Source organism: Homo sapiens, chromosome 7 (genome assembly GCF_000001405.40).
Source record: "Homo sapiens chromosome 7, GRCh38.p14 Primary Assembly".
Taxonomy (NCBI): domain Eukaryota; kingdom Metazoa; phylum Chordata; class Mammalia; order Primates; family Hominidae; genus Homo; species Homo sapiens.
The window spans coordinates 122,211,974-122,222,523 of record NC_000007.14 but is presented as its reverse complement, the minus strand read 5'-3'; the positions used below and the strand labels follow the sequence as shown (position 1 = coordinate 122,222,523).

The 10,550-nt window shown below is 37.4% G+C and overlaps 1 long non-coding RNA gene across 5 annotated transcripts in view; it reads right to left on the bottom strand.

The window, feature by feature from the left end:
* Positions 1-3,246: 3,246 nt before the first annotated feature.
* LOC102724527 (uncharacterized) overlaps positions 3,247-10,550 on the bottom strand; it is a 74,864-nt gene continuing 67,560 nt past the window's right edge. For 2 of the 5 annotated variants that reach the window (XR_007060497.1, XR_007060501.1), the window contains 4 exons: positions 8,335-8,428; positions 6,062-6,176; positions 5,496-5,555; positions 3,247-4,382 (listed from right to left, as the gene is read on the bottom strand). This is a non-coding gene — a long non-coding RNA (uncharacterized LOC102724527). Of the gene's footprint in view, positions 4,383-5,495; positions 8,429-10,550 lie in introns of all 5 variants that reach the window. The other 3 variants (XR_007060498.1, XR_007060499.1, XR_007060500.1) reach the window with 2 other exon arrangements.

Here is a 10,550-nt window from a genome sequence, read left to right as displayed (position 1 = left end):
GGGCATTATGAGAACAAGGGCATTAAGAATCTGGCTGATTTAGATTTGAATCATGATCCTATGTTTATCTGGGCAGTTACTAGGAACTCTGTATTCTCTTCTGTAAAATGAGGGTAATAATGATACATGTTTCACATAATGTTAAGAACATTTGATAAGGTTATGGCCATAGACCATGGTGCCTGGGCATAACTATAGATGCTCAGTATATGTTAACTCTTCTTATCATCATCATCCTTATCATCATCTCATGTTGATGTTGGTTTTATTATAACAGGAAATATATATACTTTAAGAAAGGGGCTGTGTTGAAGCAGATTGACTCACTTTTTAGGTTTGCTCCACACGCAATACTGTCTGCTTGAGAACCACATGGGGATTGGATGGGTAAGGTTGCTCCAGACCACAGTGATTTCAGAGAAGAGTAATAGAAAATTTTGCCACAGAGAAACAAACATCTCTCCTTGAAACATGTCCCATGTAACACAAGGAATTTCGCAGCCTTATTTTTGCCTTATCGCTACAACTATATTATGGCTTATAAATATCAACAGTATCTGAGTGCTTTATCTGGCCCAAATAAATGAATGTTTCTATTGCTACCAGTTTTTCTTCCTCGAATTACAAATGCCACAATGAACAGAAACATCTCTCTTGGAGCACTGTATGTGCTCAATCACATTCTGTTGTTCTCCACCACCCCCAAACATCCAGATGAAATGTAAAATACTCAGTCCATGAATATTGGGAAGCATTGATTTGTATTACTGTGAAGCCAAAATATTTAGATGCAAGGGTTGGGACTTTCTCCTTTATTCTTGCTCAGAAATGCACAAACTTAACCAGAGTCTAGATCTCGAGTCCCATAGAAGCCAATTAGCTTCCATATTCAGATGTTTTCAACAGAATTATTTATATATGTATAAAAGCACAACACAGGATAATGAACGCAACTTTTGTGTTCATATGGACTTTGATTTGACTTTTATTTCATACACTCACTAAACATGTGGAATCTGTCCATTTACCATAGCTCTTTGAGACTCATTAATCTCATCTACAGGATGGAGAGAATCAACTCTGCCATGGCCAGGGGATACGAGGGGCATATCAAAACACTGTGATTTCCATGTAAAACCTGAGAAGAACTGGGAAGAAGAAGAGGTTTTCCTTACAAGAAGGACTGGAGAATAGATATGGCAACTAGGAGAATTAAGGCAATCACACTAATTTATGTCTCTTACACCCTGTGGCCCAGCAATTTCATTTCTAGGACTTTACCCACAGACATATACTCATATGTATAAAAAAATGCTTATGCAGTGATGATCACTGCAGTACTGTTGTTAAAAAGCTTTCTAAACTAAATCCAATGTCCATATATTGGATATTGGTGAATTAAATCACAGCAAAACCATTCAATGAACCACTGTGCTGCAGATAATAAAGTGAGGTAAGTGTGTGTGTGTGTGTGTGTGTATATATATATATATATATATATATATATATATATATATATGGTGGCATAGAGCAATGTCCAAAGATATAAAGTTAAGCCAATAAAGTAATTTGCAGAAGAATATTATATTACAATCCCATTTGTATAAAATGTGTATCCGTATCAATCTATCAACAGTAGTATTTACTAGGATGAGAAAGTTATCTGGGAATTTCACTATATTATCCATTTTAGAAATGATGGATTTCATTACAATGACAATGCATATTTTTGCCATAAGGAAATATAAAGATTTAACCTAAAAAGTCATATTTTTTCCAACCAATGAAGATGAGAAAGCCATTGAAGGACTTTGAACAACAGAGTGATACATCACATTTAACAGGATCACTGTGGTAGCTGTGTTGACAGTGGTTGGGGGAAGCAAGGTGGTAGCAGCAAGACCAGTTATGACACCATTGAAATAACCAAGGCAAGAAGTGATTGTGGCTTAGACTGGAGTTATAGTAGAGGAAGTGGAGTGAAGTGACCTGTACTGTGCATGTTTGAAGACAGTCAATGAGCTCTGCTAGTGGATTGGGTCTGCAATGTGAGAAAAACAGAGGAGTCAAGGACAATTACAAATATTTTTGGTCTAATTGCTTGTTTTATGTTTGTTTGTTTTTAAGACGAAGTCTTGCTCTGTTGCCCAGGCTGCCGTGCTGTGGCATGATCTCGTGCTCACTGCAACCTCTAGGGCTCAAACGATTCTCCTGCCTCAGCCTCCCGGTAGCTGAGATTACAGGCATCCGCCACAACGCCCAGCTAATGGTCTGCTCAATTGGAAGAAAGTAGTAGTCTCACAAGGTTCTTATCTTGCCTTCCATTGTATTATACTCTTCTGGTTTTCCTCCTTCTCTTGTGCACTTAATTTTTGAGTGGTAGTGTGTGCAAAGACTGGTTATGATGCACAATCAGCCAGCATATACAATTTGGGATTCAATGTATAAATTCCCTTCAGAGGGAAGAGGAAAGAGGAAGCCTGAGCCAGGAACTCATCTTCCAGGAACTGCATCTTGAAGGCTTATTACCTTCAAGTGACGGCCATACTGATATGAAAATTATGGACCATGGCAAGACTAGAAAACTCACCAAGGGCATGAAACATCAGAGTGAACTCTCAGAGTAGATTGTCCAAGAAAATAGATGGTTGCAGTAAGCTTTAGGTATTCTCCAACCTGAAATCTTATGACTGGAGCATATTTGCATTACTTTCTTTGTCTTGATACTACAAGTTTCCTAGAATTTGCTGTGACTCATGTATTTGAACAGTTTTCCTTTGGTTTACACAATTTCAAGTTTAAACACCCATTGATGTTATTACATACAATACACTTTCAGTCAGCACTTTAGAATTGTAATCTTCATTTATGCACATAATTTGTTTCTTCAGTTACAAACATGTGGTGCAATTATGTTGGTTTTTATCATTGACTTGGGAATTAGGGTTTGTATTTATGTGATTAAAGTATTCAGTTTTTGAGTAAGTTCTGTAACTTAAATATTTGCTGTGCACCAGTCATAGTTTAAATGGAAAATCAACTTTAAAAGGTAAAATTTGGTGCCATCCAGTGTCATCATTGTGAATTGCAGCATAAGCACAATTGTGAGGAAAATAATTTCAAATGGAAACTAACTACAATTTGCAGAAATACCAATAATGATTTTAAAATAGTATAAATTTGAAATTAAATTTAACTGCAACATGAGATAATATAGAAAAAACCATGGAATTAAGAGAATTGAAACATGTTCTGGAATTGCTTTATTTATAAAATGGGAATATGTTACCTACATGGTAGACAAGAGCTAGAAAAATTTTTTTTATAAGGTCTAAATACCAAACACATACTGTACTTGACATCTACTACATTAGACATATATTATCTTTATATTACACTATGTTAAATAAAATCTTTATATATTGCAAAGAAATTAATATTTGGTTCAACTTATAGGGCATTACACAAGTCTGAACTTTTGAAAGTCATTCACAGGACAAAATATGGGGCACATTTCTGTAGATGCTAAAATTAAGAAGGAAAATTTCTACTAAGTATAGATTTTTGGTCTTCTCACAGAAGTTTTCGGTTGTTCAGGTGCAGTAACAATGGTATATATTTAAAACACTTAATTGAATATGAGATATTCTGTTAGCAAGACTACCTGGTCATGACTTGTGTTAGTTAGGTAATAGGTTTGGCTGTTGAAAGAGACCCTGTAATAACTGTGGTTTAAATGAAATAGAGAAATTGTTCTCTTTCATGTTAAAGCCTGGGCAGGCAATTCAGGACTATGGGACCCACAAAATTATCTGGGATCCAGGCTCCTTCTACTTGTGGTTCTGGGGCCTTGAATACATAGCTTCTCTCTCATGTTCCATGATGACTGCTCTGTTCCTCTTCTCATTCACAGCTTTATCTGCACTTACCATCCTTAAAACCATATGAGGCAAATGGGCAGAGGAGGATGCTCAGAGCTGATTGTATGGTTCACATCTTACTCTGCCCCTAAAATTTGTGCCCCTTTTCTGTGAACGTTTCTGCTCCTGATGGAATATCTGGTACAAAAATAATATTCATATATTCTTCTAACAATGAAACATACATACACTAATTTATTGGTTTATGCCAATATTAAGAAGAAACATAAAATAATACATCTTATTTAGTTAGTTATACATAGTAATATTAAGGGAAGTAAATCAATGCAATTTGTTCCATTAGACCAGTGGCTCCAAAGCAGTAGTTCTCAACTTTGGCTATACATTATAATCACTTAGGGAGCTTTAAAAATACTTGTACCTGAATCCAGCAATCCAAGTTTCTGATTTAATGGATCTAAGATGCAATTTGGTCTGCAGCGGTTTCTTCCCCAGGTGATTCTAAGTACAGCAAGATTGAGAATCGTTGTAGATCGTGGTGCAGAACAGGGTCACCTGAGGAGCTTCTGAGCTTCATCTGTGCCTTCCCACCCCCCCACTCCCCATTTCATTATGACACAATTAACCTGGAGTGGCGTCCAGGCATCAATATTTTTTAAAAATTTCCCCAAGTGAATCTAATTGTAGTTGGGGCAGAGAACCAGTGTTAAATATGAAAGAGAGTTTCTTTTATGATTTTTTTTGTTACCGTATGTATTGGCACTTATGCTTGAATTTATAGCTCTTCTGTCGAATTAAATGAGCAGTTTCTGCTATAGGAAAACTACAGCTATATTGAAATTTAGCTCTCCTTATATGAGCATCTCATTAAAATCTCAAATTTTACCCAGGTTTAGCTGGAATGCTAAACTAATGTCAAAAATAAAATTAACTATCATTTTACACATTTGTGTTTAGGTAGAATTTCCTAACATTTTCCATTGCTATGTATTTTTAAACAACTTGATTACATTTAAATGCAAAACTTTACTTTATCATTCGAAGATCTCATAAAGAGACAATTTTATTGTTGGAAGGACGTCTCAGCAGCCATAGCCTTTTCTACTATTGCCAACACTTAGAATATTCTGGGTTGGGCCGGGAATTCGATATTCTTTTTGCCACTCACATTTCCTCTCTACATATTCTTCTATATCAGATAGCCCAGATACAGTATCATCTGACTGTTGCAAAGCCAGTTGTACTGTACTCAGAATCTTGACCCAACCAGGAGTTTAGCCATGAAGTCGTTGGCTCATGTCATCTTTGTACTCCAGACAGGATTAACTTGTATGTTTGTGTGTTGCAATTATACAAACAAGGTGAGTCATGGATTACTTGGAGCATTTTCAGTTTTGGGGCTTTCAACTTCAGGCCTTTGTGTTCAAATTCCCTTGTACTGTAGCTCCAGCTCTATGTGATACTTAACATATGGAAGTGTGACTGATGAATGCATGAGGACAGTCTCTGAAGGGACCCACAATGACGTGCCCCCTGCTAGTGACCTATGAATCAGGTAACTCCAACTGAGCCAAAAAAAAAAAAAATTCACATATATTTTTGGAAAGCACTTACCAGAGCCTATGATTTCCTTGCATCTTGGATTTCCATGTTGGGGACCAAGAATTTCTTTTTCTGTTACAATAATTAAAATGAATCCCATTAGAGACTTTTGAATACTTGCATAAAATTGGATGGGTTCTTTAAGAAGTATTTTAAAGAAATCCTGTAGTACAGTGTGCAGAATGCATATCCCATTGGGGCCTTATTAAACGATGCCACACGTTAGGGGGACACCTACCCCTCCTTTTCATGTTTTCATAGAAGGAAGGACATTTTCAACTATTTCATTCCCAAGGAGAAAAAGCCCAGAAAAGAGATACTTCCAGCTTTTCCCTGTCCTTTGGCTTTCTTCTCTGTACTGGAAGTAGGTTGACTTATCTGACCACTTTCTTTGAAGAAGAAATTGAATATGGTTGGCTCTACTCCTTCTGTTCTCTCTCTTTTTTTTTTTTTTTTTTTCAGATCAGACTTTGCACGAAGGAGTTGTGTCCTGCTTCTCTCCACAGTGAAATGTACTGAGATAGGCTTTGTCCTTAAATCCATGTCTACCAAACTCAAGTGCTTCCCAGCGATCTTACCTTTTTTCTAGTCCATCCACACTCCTACTCTCCTAGATGAGTATTTCTTTATCTTCTCTTTTCAAACTCCCTTCCCAAACCACGTTATTAGCTGAACACCTTGTTCCTTTCTTCACTGAGAAAATAGAAGTAATCAGCAAAGAACTTCCACAGATTCCCATTACCAAATCTACTAATCCATCTATACCTAAACTCATATAACTGCCTTTCTTTCATTTACACGTAAACAGCCTACATTCCAATCCAAGACCTATCTACTTGTGCTCTAGATCCCATTCATCTTTCCAAGGGCATTGCTTTAGCAGTTTTCCCCAATCATTAATTTCTTTTATTGATCTACTTAATCATTTATATCAGCTGATATACTTTGTACATTCATCCCTGCCCACATTTCATGTTGAATTGTAATCCCCAGTGTTGGAAGTGGGGCCAGCCGGAGGTGGTCACAGGGGCAGATTTCTCATGAATGGTTTAGCACCATCCTTTTTGTGCTGTTCTTGTGATAGTGAACTCTCAGGAGGTCTGGTCATTTAAAAGTGTGTGGCACCTCTCTTGACCCACTGGCTCTCTCACTTGCTCCTCCTTTTGCTGTGTGATGTGCCTGGTCTCCCTTCATCTTCTGCCATGATTGTAAGCTTCCTGAGGCCTCCTTAGAAACTTAGGAGATGACAGTACTATGCTTCCTGTACAGTCTGCAGAACCATAAGCTGATTAAACCCCTTTTCTTATAAATAACCCTGTCTCAGTTATTTCCTTATAGCAATGCAAGAACGGCCTGATACATCAGCATATAAACATACTGTAACATTTCCCACCTAAAAATATAGGTGTTTTATATCCCATATCTCCCACCAGCTTCTACCGTTTCCCTGCTACTCTTGACACTAGAATTTCTGAGAAAAGTGGACTGCATTTTTAGTCTCCACTTTCCTCTCCTCTCATTTTCTAATGAGTCAGCTCTAGTTAAGCTTTCGCCTCCATCACTCTACTTAAAGTTGTTCCACTCAAAGTCAGAAGTGACCTCTCCATTGCTAAATTCAATGTTATATTTTTAGTCTTCATCTATCAGGAACATTTGACATAGCTAGGTACCGTTTTATCTACCGTATTGGCTACTCCTTCTTAATCTCTGATGAATCCTATTCATTTTTCTAATTCTTTTTCTTCTTTCATTTTTTCATTCTTAGATTATTTTCTTTCTTTTTCTATATTCACTTCCTAGGTGCCCACATCCATTTCCACAACCTTAGCATTATCTATGATATTGGGGTGACTTCCCATTTTTTCTTTAGTTAAGTGCTCTTCACTGAAGCCTCTAGACTTGTAAACCCAGGTGCTTACCTGACACCCCCATCTAGATGTCTAGTAGGTATTTTAAATATAACATTGCTACACATTTTTAATTTTCTCCCTTAGACCCATTCAATTTCAGCCCTCTCACTCTCTGGTTTCTCAGTCTTCTAGTTTCTGGTTTCCAAATGACACCTTGAAGTCATTTTTGACCTCTTTCTTTCTCTTGTACCCTAAATCCAATATGTTAGCAAATTCTATTGGCTCCGCATTTGGAATACATTATATCAGGGTTCAATTAGAGAAGCAAAACCACTACAAGATCTATAGATCTAAAAGGATTTGTTGTAGGATCTATAAATCTAAAGATTTGTTGTACGATTTTGTAAAATCTACAAAAAAAGAAAGATTTGTAAAATGATTTATTGTAGGGATTTGACTGTATAGAACAATTGTGGAGCTGATCTGGTTAGGCAGTTTCTGTAAGACTGTTTTCATCACATTTATACTAAATCTTGAGTTCATAGCTCTGGTAGTTAGAAAGGGAAGATAGATATAAATATATCTATATGTGGATATATTCAGAGATATCTCTATCTCTGTTCAGATATGTGAACTATCTGAACTATCTCTGTTCAGATATCTATTCTATCTGAACAAAGACAGAGATATTTCTGTCTGTATGTTTATCTATCTACCTATCTACCTACATGTAGATATTTAAATATATCATTCTGCCCCATAGTCTTTTAAAAGAAGGTCTTTCTCCTGACCCTCCCTAATGGAAAACTTACATGAAATAGAATTCTGAAAAATGTAATTCAACCTAGTCAAGTTGACAAGATACCACGGTCCAATTCTTGCTAACTTGGCATCTATACATATCTCCTTAAACCATACTTCATATGAAATAACAATAACAAAGTCATATGTCTTCCTACTATGCTACAACTATCTCACATGCAACTGAAAAGCACACTAACCCTTTCCCCAGAAAAGACAACAAGTCCTTTTTTGTCTTTGGGTGTTATTCGTTCTCCTCCTGGCTGGTTCACACTCCACTTTGATATCCTGTAACTTAAATACAGACAACCACTATTAACATGTCTTACGTTAAATTATAAAGGATTAAAGGAGCAATAAAACAAAAATATTTGTATAAAAATAAAAAATTCATAACTATGACAGTCCTTATTTCTACAACTGGTCACATAGCATAGCCAATATTTATAGTAATAAATTGTAAGCTTCCTTAGGCCTCTCTAGAAGCTGAGCAGATGCCAGCATTATGCTTCCTGAACAGCCTACAGAACCATGAGCTGATTAAGCCTCTTTTCTTATACATAACCCAGTCTCAGGTATTTCCATACCTTCTTCCATGGTCCTTTCTCTATTTCCTTTGCCCTAACCAAGTCCCTCAACTGGTCATGATGTTTTTCCTGGGTGAGGTGGTCCTAACTTTTACTCTTGAGGGGTCTGAGTTTTTAGCAGTTCTGTTTAAATTGGATTGTTGCAGTTTTCCATGGACTTTGCTCTCAGGAATGTACTAAGAGGTGTCCCAGAGCATCTTCTGTATTCCAACAAACTTCCTATTTGTCTCATTATATAAAGTAACCTCAATTCCTCTATTTTCACCAGTCAGAAACTGACTTTTAGCAGTTCAGTCACCCCCTCTTTCACCTGTTGATTCAGTGTCATGCAGAGCTGAAAGTGTTGAGAGCCAGTCTCAACTCCCAGTTTAATGGATTGTTTTATCTCCTAGTAGGGGCATTACATCCTTTGGAACAAAGACCTCTAGGCCAGCTAAACCTAAAGTCACGGGGGAAAAGCAAAAGTTTTGCTCATGGATCACTAAGGCCATTAGTGAGAGGAGACAGTTCCATTTTCACCTCTTGATTCTTGGACCTATAAATTCTGTCTATGAGCGAAACAGCACCATATAATGGTTGTTGATTTAGGGTGCTACTGAATGCTGGAGAAAAGAGCTTACAATATGTCACTTAGCTCACACAGTAACTGAGTCTTCAAAAGATCATTTTACCATTCTAACAAGTCAAGTGCTTCAGAATAAAGGAGAACACTGTAAGTTTCATGAATTCCATAAGCATGAGTTAATTGCTATACTTCCATTTGCTATGAAATAAATTCCTTGCCTTGTTGTGATACTGTGTGGTCAGAGATGATGCTGGGTAGAATACAGGAAATCCATGAATTGTAGTTTTGACAGAAACATTGCAGAAAGGAAGGAAGATCTCTATCAGAGTAAGTTTCTATTCTAGTAAGAATGCAGGGGAACATCAGCCACCTTGTAGCTCACATGTGGTTTCACTGGCTAGCTCATCTTCATAGTTGCTGGGCCTGCAACTGCTCCCCTTCCTTTGTATCTTCCTTTAGATTTTAAACTTGTATGCGGCTGTGTATGTTCAGAACACATCTTCCAAACATCTATATTACTGTAGTCAGAAGCAACAGGAACTGTCAAGAGTTTTAGTCCTTTCTCATGGGTTCCATCTTGTGCTTTGGGGTCCAGCTTAATCTTTTTTGCCCCCATTTACATTTACCGTCCCTTCCCTAGTGACTGTCTTGCGGACTTCATATTCCAGCTTCAGATATGAAGACAACAATCTGACTCAGACTGTGTGTGGCTGCTCCCACAATTATAGAAGATCAAATTCCGGCTGGGCACGGTGGCTCATGCTTGTAATCCCAGCACTTTGGGAGGCTGAGGTGGGTGGATCACTTGAGGTCAGGAGTTCGAGACCAGCCTGGCCAACATAGTGAAACCCTATCTCTATTAAAAATACAAAAAAAAAAAAAAAAATTAGCCATGCATGGTGGTGCATGCCTGCAATCCCAGCTACTCAGGAGGCTGAGGCAGGAGAATAGCTTAACCCAGGAGGGAGAGGTTGCAGTGAACCGAGATCACACCACTGCACTCCAGCCTGGTGACAGAGTGAGACTGTTTCAAAAAATAAAAAAAAAGATCAAATTCCTGTAACAAGTGTCTTGATAAATACATAGATAGATAGATAGATAGATATTCAAACAGACAGATAAATAGATACATAGGTAGATGTATATATAGATACACACCTCCTAGTGGGTCTGCTTCTCTGACTGAATCCTGATAACAGAATTGCATACTGAGAGTGGTTCCAGAGAACAGAATCTCAAGGATGAGTTATCTGAATTGGATTTG